Source organism: Homo sapiens, chromosome X (genome assembly GCF_000001405.40).
Source record: "Homo sapiens chromosome X, GRCh38.p14 Primary Assembly".
Classification (NCBI taxonomy): domain Eukaryota; kingdom Metazoa; phylum Chordata; class Mammalia; order Primates; family Hominidae; genus Homo; species Homo sapiens.
The window spans coordinates 38,083,412-38,099,609 of NC_000023.11; the positions used below are offsets into that span (position 1 = coordinate 38,083,412).

The 16,198-nt window shown below is 36.9% G+C and overlaps 1 protein-coding gene across 28 annotated transcripts in view; it reads left to right on the forward strand.

Annotated features, from left to right (window-relative positions):
- The window catches only part of SYTL5 (synaptotagmin like 5), a 239,906-nt gene that overhangs the window by 194,497 nt on the left and 29,211 nt on the right, over positions 1-16,198 (forward strand). For all 28 annotated transcript variants that reach the window (XM_017029972.1, XM_047442658.1, XM_011544001.3 and 25 more), the window contains 3 exons: positions 6,035-6,176; positions 10,884-11,013; positions 12,723-12,823. In XM_017029972.1, coding sequence (XP_016885461.1) covers positions 6,035-6,176; positions 10,884-11,013; positions 12,723-12,823 — 373 coding nt within the window. The remainder of the gene's footprint in view (positions 1-6,034; positions 6,177-10,883; positions 11,014-12,722; positions 12,824-16,198) is intronic.

Genomic DNA, 16,198 nt, shown 5'->3' on the forward strand with positions numbered 1-16,198 from the left:
GCTTTTGTTTTATTAAGTCAAATTATAAAGCTATTTCTATAGTTAACATTAGGATTCATTTGGCACAATTTCATTGAGTGCCCACTACCTTATACTACTCTTGTCCTCTTTCCAAAAAGGAAAAGGAAGATATGTGCGAGTAAGCCATAGAAGGCCAGTGGCTTCAGGGGACATTGCAGCTACAGAAGCTGCTTGAGGAATTTCCATGTCTTTCTCATCTCTCTGCTTCCCTAATTCTGCTTTGAAGTGATCCTATGATGGCTCACTTGGGCCTAAGTTTAACACACAAACACCCAATACCTGAAATTTACTTCTTTTGGGTGTATTAGCTTCTCCAAAGAGTTTAGTTTTTAAATAGACTCATGTGTGTGTGTGTGTGTGTGTGTGTGTGTGTGTGTTTGTGCGCATAGGCACTGTGGTGTTAATATATATATATATATAGGTTTTCATCCATAGTTCCTGCCTCCCAACTTCCATAGTCCTTGTTATACTGTTGGGTCACTTTAGGCCTCAGAAAACATAAACTCTCTCTCTGACCTTCTGCTGTCCTTCTTTCACCCGCCAAAGCAGGACTCTAACCTGATTATGGTTCAAAAGACCCTCATTCCGGAAACCCTGCCTCATAACCTAGAGGAAGGAATGCTACACAGAGAAACCAAGAAAAGTCTGAACAGACAAGCCTTGCTAGGTTTAGATCATGCACTTTCTGTCCAATCACATTTTTACATGGTTGTCAATCATGCCTATGTAATGAAGCCTCCATAAAAATCCAAGAGGACAGAGTTCAGAGAACTTCTGGATAGCCACACATGTGGAGGTGCCAGGAGGGTGGTACACACAGGGAGGGCATGGAAACTCTGCAGTCCTATCCCCATACCTCACCCTACGCATCTCTTTAACTGTATCTTTTGTAATAGCCTTTATAATAAACTGGTTGATGTGTTTCCCTGAGTTCTGTGAGCCACTCCAGCTAATTAAACACAAAGAGGGGGTCATGGGAACCCCAAATTGAAGACAGTTGGTCAGAAGTTCTAAAAGCCCGGACTTGTGACTGGTGTCTGGGGGAGGACAGTCTTGGGGACTGAGTCCTCACCCTGTGGGATCTGACACTCTCTTTGAATAGATAGTGTCAGAATTTAATTAGAGGACACCCATCTGGTGTCTGCTGCTTGGTGTGTGGGGAAAAACCCCACACCTTTGTTCACCAGAGACTTCCGTGATGATCGATGATTGTTGTAGTACTGTGAGAGCAGAGGAAAAACATACTTAGAGTTTTTCCCCAAACTGGCATACACACAGAGATCAAAAACCTTTTCTGTAAAGGTACAGATAATATTTTTGACTTTGTGGTCCATATGATCTCTGTCTCAACTACTCAACTTTGCTCTCAGAACATGGAAGCAGTATAGACAGTACATGAATGAATGGGCTGCCTGAATTCCAGTCAAATTTTATTTATGGGCACTGAAATTTGAATTTCATATAATGTTCATGTGTCACAAAATATTATTCTTCTTTTGATTTTTTTCAACCATTTAAAAATGTAAAAACTACTCTAAGCACACGGGTATATAGAAACATTTGGTGGGCCCAAATATGTCCACAAGCCATAGTTTGCTGACTTCTAGTGCAACACATTCACTCACTAAGACAAAGTGTCCTTCAGTGTATCACAGTCTGAACCACAAGAACAGCTTAGCTCTTTTCATGTCAGTACTGTTGAATTAAAAAAAAAAATAGTGGTAGAAGCAGAGGGAGCAATGCAGGTGGAGAGATGTCTGAGATCAATGAACTTTTATCCACAGCTTAGCACAGTGGTTTTCAGCCTTGGCTTCATATTGGAATCACCTGGGGAGTTTTAAAACATCCTGGCACCTAGATGCCACACCCAGAGAGTCCCATGTGACTAGCCTCAGTATAGTCTGGACATGGGAGTTTTAATGGCTCCCCAGGAGTTTCTAATGTGCATCTGAGGATGAGGGCCACTCATCTCACATAAGACTATTAATAAAGACACAGCACTTGGGGATCACCAAAGACTAGAAGATTGAGCTACATTCATTTTTAGTTATCTCTTTCCCATTTAGCAGGCTTATCTCACTTTCTAACTGCAACCTTCCTTGGCCATCTTTCCTGCATATTCATTGTAGATCCAAAATAACTATAAGAAGTTAGGAAAGCTCATAAACCTCAGAGAGAATATTTTGCATTGTCTCTGTGTTGTACTGCACATTAGTCTCATTGTCCCAGTGAGTTTTAGGATCTCTCAGGTTCGTGCTGCCTTAGGAGAGCACACATTTAACCATATGGGAACAGGCTCAACACTATCAGCCACTCTGGGAAGGTTGGATCCTGGGAAATTATTTCCTGGCTACAACTCCTAGGAGACCTTTATGTAAAGCAGAAAGGCAATTACATTGTAATCTCTACCCCCTATCCTTGGATCCTCTGTCTAGAAATGGATGTATCTGGGAAGCTGTTATCAAGATTTTGGAGCAACATGGTGCTGTGCTGAACCCCTATTAACCTCAATAGGGAAACTGCCAGGTTCAAGAGACTCAGAGCCAGCAAACGAGACATACAATTTTATTAGCATCTTACACACAGGGGACAGAGTCCAGCAGTGGTGGGCTGGGCAGGAAAACCATAACCGCTTGCAAATAACAATGCAGTTTATATAGCATTTTCACTTAAAACCTTCCCCCTAAACGACCTCCACCTGGAAACCTTCATTTAACCCAAAACTCAGGGCCTCAATCCCCGGTATGGCCCATGTTCCATGAGAAGGGCCAGGGGCTCAGATGTTTTTCATAGGTAAGAAACAAACCTCAGGGCTGGCCACTCCTGGATTCCCTAGCTTGGAACAAACATTCAGATGCATCTGCCACACAGGGTCATTGTAAGAGTATACTGAAATGATTGCTGTCAGATGTGTTTCCCCTACCCATGGAATTAGAGATAACAAAACAGAAGGCTTTTAAAGTATATTTCATAAGGTAAAGTAAATTAAACTTTTTCCTAATCTGGAAAATGTGTCTTTCAGCAACCCAGAATATCCAAACTCCCAGACAGTGACATATCCCCACATTTGGGCCTTTTACAGTGAGATAAATGTATCTCTTTCTTGCCGGTTTTTACTTAACCACATTTTAGCTTGAAGGTTTGTTGGCACTGATTTATCATACTTCTTATTTAAATCTGAGTAACATTATAGCTGGATTAAAAAATAGCTTTTTCTTAGTTGACCTTTACACTTCACAACTTTAATTTTGACTTGACATAGCTTTTATCATTTTCCAATTTAAGTGGCAAAGATTCGTGTATTTTATGTCATATTTTACATACCTTCTAAATGAGTTGGCACACAAATATTTATGATAATATGCCTTATTAGACTAAACCTTTTTTGAGTTTAATCAACTGGAAAAAATTTTTTGAGAAGCTCACAGTAAATGTCAGGGACAAATGTGAAATTCTATGTCATTTTTGAGATAATGCTGCTGGCAATGATAATTTGCAGTAGCTGACTTACAATCACAAGAATTTTTTCCTTATTACAGGATAACTTCTTGAATGTCATCACCACAATTAATCAACTTCTGCCAGAGCTTCTACATAAGTAGCACTTTTGGTTTCAGCAAGGCTAATCCATGATGGGGCGTTTCTCAAAACCACCTGGCTCTGGGAGGACCTTCCGCACACACACAAGCAGAAACACCCACATGAGTCCCTTTGGTTCATAACTTCTTGGGTCATTTCTGCAAGATTGACCCCTGCCCTTTCTTTTTAAAGGATATTTTACCTGAAACAGTAGGGAGACATATTTCTGTGTTAACATTGTTCTAAAGAACCTATGGTCACAGTACAGCATCAATGGGAAAGTCTCTATGCCTCTCCTAAGTAGAACCTCTGAGATGAGCAGAATACTTGGAAGGGTACAAATATGGCTAACTGTTGTCAAATGTAGAAATGTCATGCTTCAGGTAGAAGGGTTCAGGAAAATCACCAAAGAAATTAGAATTCCAAAGTGTATCAATTTACTTAATCACAAAATTTTACTCTCTTGTCAGAATCAACAGGCACAGTCTTAGAGATCTTCTCAGCTGAGTTCATAGCACTGTAATTTACTTAGACTGCTATTTCTACAAAGAGGAAGCCAGAGATCCTTTCTGCAGAGACTGTTTAGTAAAAAAGAAAAGCCACCCTTTAGTAACCACTCTTTAGTAACATAGAAAATTTTCATAATTCTCTTAATCAAGTCCCAAGAAACTAATTCCTAGCTCTTTGCTCCTTTGATTAACTTCTGTTTGATAGTTCATTCTATAAATGCAAAACCTGCCTGGCTGGAATGATTTGTTCTTAGTGAAATGATGAGTAAGCAGTATGAGAAACTAGAATGGTCACAGGCTTTGGGTAGACTGACAATACTGTTTTTATGCTGATTTTATCACATGCTAACTCTATGATAGCATAGTGGTATGTCGGTGTGTGTATGCATGTGTGTTTGTGTACATGCATACATGTATGGAATAATTAACCTCTCCAATACTCAATTTCTTCATTTAAAAATATTAAATAATATTCTAAAACATATTTTACAAGGATATTGGGGGATGGAAAATGGCTAACACCTAGAAGATACTAAGTAAATGCCACTGCTATTCATGATTATTGAAGGTGGTGGTAGCTGGTAATGTGGTCCAAAAGAAATTTGGTTTTGGTGACTTCTCTGGTGCACAGCTTTGAAAAAACTTAGGAGTTGTGGTTGACAGTTCTATCCAATGGTCATTGCCTATTCTTCTGCCTGATTTATCTTCTAGTAATGATATGTGCACATTTAAACATTCTTTTAAAAAATATTCCTTTATTCTATTTAACCTTTCCTCTTATTGGCTCAACTGTAAGTCCTCATCACTATTAACCACTGCTGGTATGCTTTACCAATAAGATGTGTACTATTATATGTGCATTTGTAACTCATTAAGACAGTAACTGAGAGAGTAAAACTCATAAGGGCTTCTATTTTACCACTTAGCATATTTTGTGCCCACTGAGGGAAAAGAATAAAATGGGAACAAACACTTCTCTTAAACTCCGACTTGTCAAAATTTATGTTGACTTATGAAGCTCATTTAATAAGAAAATTGTGAACACCTCAAGGGCAGGAACCACTTTTTCATTTATTGTTATTGGATTGAATTGAATAGTTTTAGCACACATGAAAGTGATTCAAGCACATTTACCAAATGTCATTATTTTTGTACCACATTTATTAAATGTGCACCATGAATTAGACACTAAAACAACACAGAGAAATGAAATATAACTTCTAATCTTTGATTAAATATGTACTGAGTGGCTTCTTTGTACTAAGGCACTACAAAGCTGCTGGAGATACATGACAATTATGGCATGGACTCTGTTCCCAAGGAGTTCATAGTTTAATGAAACACCCAAGCTCACATATGTGGATCCATTAGGGAGCCAAACAAGACATTTTGCAGTCAAATACTAAATACAGTAGTCTGGCAAAGACCGTAAGTCAATAGGAATTGAGTGGAACAGAGGTTGACAAGGCTTATGCTTGACAGGAAAGGCCTAATGGGGAAGGCTGGACTTCATTTGCCCTTGAAGACTGAGAAAGATGTGTATAGACAGAGAGTGGTTAAGAGGGCATAACAAGTGGAGACAAGGTAAGCAAAGGCCTCAGGAGGTGGAAGTCAAGATGGTGAGCTGAGAAAATGGTAAGGAACCCAGACTGGCTGAGAGAATGCTGGTAAGCAGAAGGAAACAAAATCAGAAAGATGGGGTGAAGTTTAATTACTGTGGGGCAAATGGGGACAAACCTAGTGATCCCCTCAGGGCCTTTGAGGAGGAAGGTAACATGATAGTTTCTAAGCAGTTCCAGTGTGACTCTTGTGAACTCAGTGCGGTTCATATGTTCTTATCAGTTTCCTCATCAGCTTTACTCTGCCTGTGTATTTGGTTGCTGCTCTGCTTCCATGTTAAAGTCAGAATATGCTTTCTCATTTAGGGGAAGCACTGGCTCATCAGATCTCAATGACCAGGAACCTGGTCCTAGGACCCCGAAGAGCAGTCGGAGCAATGGTGTGACCCCAGGCACTCAGAGTTCACCAGCCCCAAGCACACGAACTGTGACCTCAGTCATCAGTAGAGTAAGTACACAAACCTGATGAACACCGTATTAGTTCATTCTCACACTGCTATAAAGAACTGCCAGAGATTGGGTAATTTATAAACAAAAGAGATTTAATTGACTCACAGTTCTGCATGGCTGCAGAGACCTCAGGAAACTTACAATCATGGCAGAAGGAGTCTGTCAAACACTTATAAAACCATCAAATCTCGTGAGAACTCACCATCATGAGAACAGCACAGGGGAAGCCTCCCCCATGACTCACTAATCATCCGCCACCAGGTCCCTCCCTCAACACGTGGAGATTGTGGGGATTACAGTTTGAGATGAGATTTGGGTAGGGACATAGAGCCAAACCATATCAGACACCCAGTCTCTGAAATTCAACCTCACCACTGCAGCATGGCTAGGTTTCAACTCTGTTTGTATCAGAGCATGTTCTTTATGCTGCTGAAAGGTAGAAGCTTCATCAGGACTGAACCTCCTGCATCTTAGCTCCTGGCAGGAAACCCAAAATGAAAAAGGGAAGAGAAAGACCAGGTTCAAAGGTAGCACTTGTATGATGGAGTTTTAAATTGCTATATGGCTTAAATAAATATAAAACATTTTAGAAGGCTCTGATTTTGATCCTCTCTGTTACTTCTTAGAGAAAATATTCATAGGTTGAGTGCACAAATTTTTCCAAACTGATTTAAATCTGGAAAAGTAGAACTTTTATCTAGTTTTTAAAGTAGAAATTTTTATTTTCTTTTCTATACATCTGTTAACATAGGGGTCAACACATAATGAAGGCTTAAATTGCATTTTATATTTATATGTGATCAATTATATTTTCTACTGGTTTTCTCTTTTAAAAGAGAATATGAAAAAAGTATTTGGGGAAAAATATTCTCTTTTATTAAATATTCTGTTGGAAGTTATATTTGGAATGAATTAGCATTTGTGAGATTTTTTTATTTAGCAGGAAGCTCCATCCACATTGCTGGCATCTATATTTGATAAATCTTTATATGAGCAGTGAGTTCATACAATACAAACAATTATTTGACTCAACCAACATTTAATGAGAACCTACTATATGACAGGCTCTAGTCAAGCAAAGACTTGAAGGAAGTGAAAGAATTAGCAATGTAGTTTTCTGGGGCAAGGTGTTCCACCACGCAGAGACAGCACTGATATTCAGCAGGTACATGCAGGGAAGGCTGCTCTACTTCCTTGTAGCTGGCCTCCATCTTGATTGGTCAGTGCCCTTGCTCAGCCAGTTTCTAAAATATTTTTAATGCCTCTAGAAGAACAGCCAGTGTGGAGCCCCTGAGGTGGGAGCACACCGGGTATGTTCAAGGAAGAGGAAGGAGGCCAATGCAGCTGTGGTGAATGAATGAGGCAAAGTGAACTAGGAAATGAATCCAAAGAGGTCATAGGGCTGGATAGAGCCTTGAAGAGTGCTGTGTGCAGTCAGCATTCACTCTGATTAAGATGGGGGAAACTGGAGGTTTTAGAGCAGAAGAGTAACACAATCTGCCTTATCTTTAAGCAGGATTTGGGGGCTGTGCTGAGAAGCAGCTGTAGGAGAACAAGAGTGAAAGCCAGAAAAGCAATCAGTAAGCCATTGTCATACCCCATGTGAGAGATTGGGTTTTGAAACAAAGAGATAGTGGAGGTGGCGAGTAGTCAAATTCCGTTAAAGCATTCAGACAGACTGAAAAACAGTAATAGATTTATTTAAACATCTATAGTCTAAATTGTAGTTGTGAAGATAAAAGGCATATTTAAAACTTCATAAATATTTATGCTAAGGTCAGCAAGCCATTTCTGTTCAATAGCTAGAAAGGTGCATGGATAGTTGACGAATACACTCACCTCTTGGAATCTAAAAAGGAATGATATTCAAACCACTTAGTGACCAGTCTGGCAGGGATGTTGAGAAATCACAACAGACACTGGCACAAGGCTGGGGCAGTATGCGGGGGCCCTTCTATGTCATGCACTAAACCTGAATTATGGGGAAACCTGGGCTTATAGATGAGAGGGAGCACAGGGAAGTGGGAGGTGGACTGGGAGTAGTGCTGTTTATTAACTGACACAGAAGTATTTTTAAAAATTTAACATCTAGTACAGTTGTCCCAGTGGGTAGCAGCTGACAATCAGTCCAATGACCAATAAGTTAATCAAGTTTATTCTCACAACAAGGTTTATCTTTCTACGTACAATTTGAGATTATTAGGGGGGAAATCACCCTTTTCATGTGCTAATACCCTCAAAACTAACAGCCCCTACTTGTGTATTTCTTTGTTAAACAGCACCTAGATCTCTGCAACAGAAATTCCCTGCAATTTAGTAGAGTATATATACATATACATAGGCAGTGCCTATGCTGATCTCATTCTTGCAATCTAGCTGGTCTAAGCTGGTCTTTTCTAAGAGAAAAAAAGAAACAAAGAGAAGTACTTTCTATTGAATAAAAATAAGACAGCACAGTAGTTTATGAAGTACATTTGCTCTTTCATTAAAAGGGAAGTATATAGCATTAGATGGCAAGTATATAGCATTAGATGATGAGCAAGGTAACAACTCAGTTTCTCCCATTTCTTAGCATCTCTTTGTTTCAATGTTCTTTTCTGCTCTAGCATGAAAGAAAATATATTAGTCAGGGATCTCCACAGGGATAGAACTGATAACATATATATAAGGGAGTTTATTAGGGAGAATTTGCTCACACGATTATAAGACAACATCCCACGATAGGCTGTCTGCAAGCTGCGGAAAGAGAGAAGACAGTAGGATGGCTCAATCCAAGTCTGAATGCCTCAAAACCAGGGAGGCCGACAATGCAGCCCTAGTCTGAAGCTGAAAGCCCAAGAGCCCCTGGGAGGCTGCTGGTGCAAGTCACAGAGTCTAAAGGCTGAAGAACCCGGAGTCTGATGTCCAAAGGCAGGAGGAGGGGAAGCCAAGTGTCTGGTGCAGCTTGGGAAGAGAAAGAGTGAGCAGACTCAGCAAACAAGCCGCTTTTCCCTGTTCTTTCGTGTGCTTTGTTCTAGCCACACTGGCAGCTGATTGGATGTTGCCCACTCCACACTGAGAGTAGGTCTTCCTCTCTCAGTCCACTGACTCCAATGTCAGTCTCCTCCAGCAACACCCTTACAGACGCACCCAGAATAATACTTTATCAGCCATCTAGGCATCCCTCAACCCAATCAAGTATACACCTAATATTAACCATCACAGAAAACTTTTAGAGCATGAAAGTCTCTAACCTGTCCTCTACTATGATGCAACCTATTAATTTTAGGCTTGACACCCTGAACCTCCAGGGTATGTATTGCTTGTTAATGACAGTGCAATATTAATTGGCCTATTAGTGCTCAATACTAATGATACTCACAGATCACCTGTGGGAAAACTTGCCATTAACATAATTGCCTCCAAGGAACTTGGTCTTGCTTCATTAAAGGACTCCATGTGTGAACAACTTTTTGAAGAGGTGTTGAAAATTGACCTAAACTAATTTATCAGTTTGACCTCTGTCACACTCCTGATAAACTTTTCTTGTTTATGGCAATTAGAGGAAGTTAGGAGCTATATACCTCCAGCTACAGGTATTATGTGTTGGAGAATAATAAGATACTAAAAACAGTCTAAATTGAAGCTGAATCAATTAGCATATTAAGCAAGTGAAAGCCACATTTCACTGTAATGAGTTCATCAGAGTGTCCCTGAATGTCTAAGAGATGGGCAACAAGGAGGGAATTATTCCTCTAGGATTTCAAAAGGCACTTTTTGATTGTTTACAGAAGGGAGAATTGAAAAATCTGTTTTAGATTTGATCATTATCATACCATGATGTAATTTGAATGGACACTTAACCTCAGCCCAGTTCTGGAAAGGTCCAAAATTTGTTATAGTTGTTGTTTTAACACTCAAGAAAGCTTCGGATGAGGCAGCAGTCAAGCCCTGCCTTGGTCTATGGCAGGGCAAAGGTCACAGACAAAGTTGGGTCTATGGTCATGGGCGAAGTCGGGACAGAATTTTCTTTACCATATGTTACAATAAATGCAAGTCCCAGACTGAATTCTACCACATGTACAAGCATTTATTAACAAGCAGACACCACACAAAAAAAATAACTATTCCTGTGAGCTTGGGAAGTTTTCTCTCTTTATTTTTTTATGAACATTGGTAAGTACCATGCATGAAAGTCATTCCAAAATAGATGTAACCACCCATATTCTGACCAGCCAGCCTTCTAGATGGAAAAGGTACATGACATCCTGTTAAATGGGGGTGGAAGAGGTAAGGGATGGTTGAAGAGAGGGTATGTTGAAAGAGGGAACAAAATAGGACCAAACAGAGTTCTAAGCTTGAGTGCTACTCTGAGAGTGTGAATCTTGACAGATTATTATACATCCCTCATGTAAGATTGAGGGTACCTGTATAATCTTCCTTATTAATCATATATTAGAACACTCATTGATTTGGGGAATGAGAAATTGTCCGGATACCTTTTGCACTAATTAACAAACCTCTTGGAATGGATTTTGGATAGCAATTATTGATGGTAAATTTTGAAGTTACATGGACTCCTGGTGAGGGTCCTTCAAATGTCAATTAGCTCCTCCTAAATAATAATACATATAAAGGTGTTTATACTGAAGTATATTTATGTAGATGAATTTTATAGTAAATTACAGTCAGTATAATTTTTTTCTCATTTTTACTTTGTGGGAAGGAGTATGGTTTTGAAAATTCCATGGATTTGGCTGCTATTGAAGGTACCTCTCAGGAGCTCACAAAGAGTCACCGCAGAAACACTTCTGGCACACCTTCCATAGCAGTGTCTGGAACCTCTCTCTCCTCAGGTGGGTATTTACAATGTGCCTACTTTGTTGTTTAAAATGACTAAATCAAATGGAATTGACTGCTATGTGTGGTATTAAGTGGATGTTTCATCCTTTAAAAAATAAGCATTCCCTTCTTTGACCTATGGTGGTAGGCCACTCCATAAGAACTGCTTGAAGATAGACCCAGGTAAAGCTTTGGGCACCTTACATTCATGAAAATTCCATTTATTTAGTACATACTCTTGCCAGGTATCATCACTGAGTTTCAGTGCTACATCAGAATATCAATATTTGAATGAAGGAAATATAAATTATTCCAGGATACATTTGCTATAACAGATAAGAATGCTTGCTCAGAGTTCAAGGAAATGGTAGTTCAATTGATATAGTAGTCAGAAGTTCCCTACATATAGACAAAAGAAAATCATTCTGTGGTTTAAATAAGAAGTTATTTGCAAGCAGCACTAAAGTATTAATAATTACCCCTTTCATTTGCATGGTACACTCAAATATGTCATTTTACTTCATTATCACAACAGTCCTCTGAAGCAGCTATTATTCATTTTGAAATGTTAATAGCTATGACTAAGAAAATTCTTCGGAGAAATTTGTCATAATTTTGAAGCTTATGTCCCATACATGGAATAAAAATCATGATGCAGTCTTCAACATTAAAAAGCTACCTGTAACCTAATGATTATATATGCATAAAGCCTAAGGCAGGATTCTGTTTGCTGAACTGAGGGGTCTCTTCTAGCCAGCCAGCTCCCAAAGGATTTTCTAAATGTGTGTGGTTATTGCTACATTTTGCTCAGGAGTAAAAAAGCTGTTCACCTGTTAATTAAATTTTTAAACTAGTTTAGAAACCAACATCATAGGGTCTACTACTACTACTTCTACTCAACAGCTCCTGTTAATTGAGTACGTACTCTGTGTCAGGCCTATGCTAAGTACTTCTGCATTATTTTTTTCATCAATTCAAACTTAAGTACTTGATTACTCTCTCCAATCTTTCTCATTTATAAGTAACTATATTGATCTCAGTAGTGCTTTGGTATAGAACTATTTTGTGGAAATAAGCTGTCCTGACTTGGTAAGCTGTCCAAAGCATTACTAAGAGGTGCATTGCTCTGTAACTTATATTTTCAAAAAGTGAAAACAAGGTGTTCTTCTGATGAAAGACTCTTCTGGTCCATTAAGAAATAGAACTTCCTCTCATTGCATCTATAGCCTCTCATTTTTGTGTGAAAAGAACTTGCTATATCACTTCAAAGTGGCAGTTTAGAATAGGTTGCATTGCATTTTATGTCAAATCTGAAAACACAGTGAATTCTCTAAATATTGCAAGCAAGAATTGTTAATGTTTTTTTTTCTAAATTTAAGGGCCCATTCTAAGAGAGTTTTTTAAAGTCTAGGAGCAAAGCAGTTGCCTTAAACAGCTTAAAACATAGCATTTTACAGTAGAACATTTAACCTCCTGTGATAGAAGGAAACATGAACACCTAAGTGTAATTCGGTCCAAGGCAATTACCAAAATATTATTAAAAATAGAAGTATGTTATCATAAACAGCATGAAGTTACTGACTCCGACTGTTGCTTTCATGGCACTATTTATGATCTGTGCCTAAAAAGAATTGAAATAAAGGTGAAACACTTGGAATAAAAAATGAAATCTTCTCACAAAACAGGCTGACTCACGTCTTTCTTTTTCCTTTCCACCTTCCAGATCAGAGTCGATCTGAGTTAGATTTGAGTGAGTCATTTACAGAAGACTCAGAGGATACTGTAAGCATAAGAAGCAAGTCTGTCCCTGGGGCTTTAGACAAGGTAAGTTGGATGTGGAAGAAAATATAATGAAGAGGAGGAAATAAGGGCATAATCTTGCTCCAAGTGGTTTCACTTTTAGGTGATGATGAGTTGAGAGTAAAGAGAGGATATACAATCATCTCTTCCTGTTAGTCTTCACAGTCAACACATAAAAACCGAAAGAATAACTTAGAAAATATAATGGGTAATCATGTTAATGAGTGAAGGTTATGTCTAAGAAAACACATGTTGGAGATTTCAATTTCTGGCTAAAGTCTTATCACTTAATCTAAACCTGGGAAATGAGAGATCCTAACATTTTCCTTAGCCAAATATTATTAGAAATATCTGATTACATATTTATATCAACATTGCTATATCTCAAGTTACCACCAATAAATTCACTTCTAAACTGAGACAAAATTATGTGAAAATTAATGTTTCAGTGAACTCATTTCTAGAATGAGAAGGTTAAATTAGATTATTGTAAAGGTTATTTCCCAGTCTAATATTCTGATATTCAGATTTCTGTAATTGCTATAATAAAATACGGACTCCTTGGAAGAAATAGAACACAAATGTAAAATGGTATTGATAGTTTTTCCAAAGCACACTAGGAAACTTAGAGTTCTAAAATGAAATAATATTTTCTATAGTACAAAAAACTGGGAAAATACTTTAAAATCTACCTCCAAAAGAGAGATGGGCAGTGAGATTAAATTATTTCAAAGTTTACTCATGTTCAACCTTTAAAGAATTACTAATTCCAACATTATTAAACTATTAAACTATTCGTGATCTTAGAAAACCATTGAAATCTTTTCATTCATTGTATGCAGCCAGTATAATCTTGACACTCAGACTTGATTTTTAAAATAGTTTGAAAAATAAAACTACAAGTCAAACTAGTTTACGAATATACATGCAAAACTTTAAATATAATATCAATTAAAATCTAGCAGTGAATAAAAATAGCAATAAGTAAGTTTTATGCTAAGTATGGGTGGAAGAATGAGTCTATATAAGAATATTTGTCAGCATAATTTATATCAATATACTAAAGAAGAAAATGACATGATTCTGTATGTAGAAGATACTAAAGGATCTACAAAAATATGACTAGAACTGATAAACAAGTTCAGCAAGGTTGCAGGAGATAAGATCAATATACAAAAATCAACTGTATTTATATATACTAGCAATGATCAATTGGAAAATGAAATTAAGAATATAATTCCATTCATAATAGCATGAAAAATATTTTTCAAAAGTAAGGAATAAATTCATTTTTAAAAGTGTAATACATGTGCATTGAAATTAACAAAAATATTTCTGAATTAAAGGAGACATAAATAAGTAGAAACATATTCTGTGTTAATGGATTAGAAGATTCAATATTTTTAAGATGGAAATTCTCTCCAAATAAATTTGTAGACAATGCAAGCCCAATCAAAATACAAGCAGGATAATTTTGTAGAAATAGAAATTATTATTCTACCATTTATATGAAAATATATGGGACCCAGAATAACAAAATCAATTTTAAAGAGCAAAGTTGGAAGACTTATACTACTAGATTTAAAAACTTACTCTACAGTTATAGCTATCAGTACAACACAGTATTGGCATAAGCATTGGCAATCAGTGGAATAGAATTGAGATTCCAGAAAAAAAAAAAAAACTTTATGGCCAATTGATTTTTGGTACTTCAGTGGGGAAAGAATAACCTTTTCAACAAATCATACTGGGACAACAGGATATCCAAATACCACAAAACATAAAAGAACTTTGACTCTTAACATATACCATGCAGAAATTAAGCAACGCAAAATGGATTATAAACCTAAATGTAAGAACAGAAACCATAAAATTCTAAAAGAAAACCTAGGAGAAAATCTCCATGACTTTCAGTTAGGCAAAGAATTCTTAAATATGGCACTGAAAGCATGATGCATGTATTCAAGAAAAAAAACTGGTAAATTAAATTTCATCAAAATGAAAAATGTTTACACTTCAAAAGACACCACTACAGATGTGAAAAGTCAAGCCACAGACTGGAAAAGTATTTTCAAATTATATATTTGTTAAAGGACTTGTATCTAGAATATATTTCTTAAAACCCTTACATTCAATATTAAAAAGACAAATAATCATATTAGATAATGGGAAAAAGATTTGGATAGACATTTAATCAAGAAGATTTACAAATGCCTAATAGCTGCATTAAAATATGTTCAGCAACATTAGTTATCAGAGAAATGAAAATTAAAATCACAATGAGATACCACTTCACACCCCCTTGAATGGGTGTGATTAAAAAGACATAATAATAAGTGTTGATGAGGATGCGGAGAAATTGGAACCCCCCTACATTGCTAGTGGTAATGAAAAATGCTACCTACAGCCATTCCGTAAAAGAGTTTGGCAATTTCTTTAAAAGTTAAACATAAATTTACTATATGACATAGCAATTTTGATCCTAGGTATCTACCCAAGAGAAATGAAAACATATGTCCACATAAAGACTTACACGCGAATGGTTATAATAGCCAAAAAGTGAAAATAATAATATCTGGTGAATAGATGGAATACAATGATATATTATTCAGAAATAAAAAGAAATGAAGTACTGACACATACTACAACATGCATGAACCTTGAAAATATTATGCTAAATGAAAGAAACCAGGCAAAACTACATATCATATAATTACATTTATATGAAATGTCAATGAAAGGAAAATTGATAGAGAAATTAAAGCAGATTAATGGTTGCCAGGGAGTGAAGAAGTAGGGACTGACTGCAAACAGGCATGGGGGAGCTTATTGGGTTGAAAATGTACTAAAACTGGATTATATTGAAGTTTGCTCAACTATAAATTTGCTAAAAATCACGGAATTACATGCATACAATAGGTAAATTTTATGGTATGTAAGTCATACCTCTATAAAGTTGTGGGAGAAAAAATTAGCAGCAAGGAAAATAGCTGGAAAAGTGATAATTGTTAAAACTAGGTAATCAGTTATAAGGGTTCATTATGCTATGCTTTCTATTTTGTGAATGTTTGAATTTTTTAATATCCACTTTTGAAAAGAAAGTAAAGAAACATGAAGACTGGTACTTTATGTGATGACTACTGGGTAATTGTATACCAAGAAAGAGCAAAACATAAAAATATAGAAAAGGGGCAATTTGAAAAAATAATAGGGATAATAGGGATGCATTTTTTCAGAATTAAAGAGCTTATTAGTTTCGGCAGCTTTTTGCTGAAGTTTTTAGAGTGTTCTATATATAAAATCATGTCATCTGCAAACAGACAATTTTACTTCTTCCTTTCCAATTTAGATGCCTTTTATTTCTTTTACCTGTTTAATTGCTCTGGCTAGGACATCCAG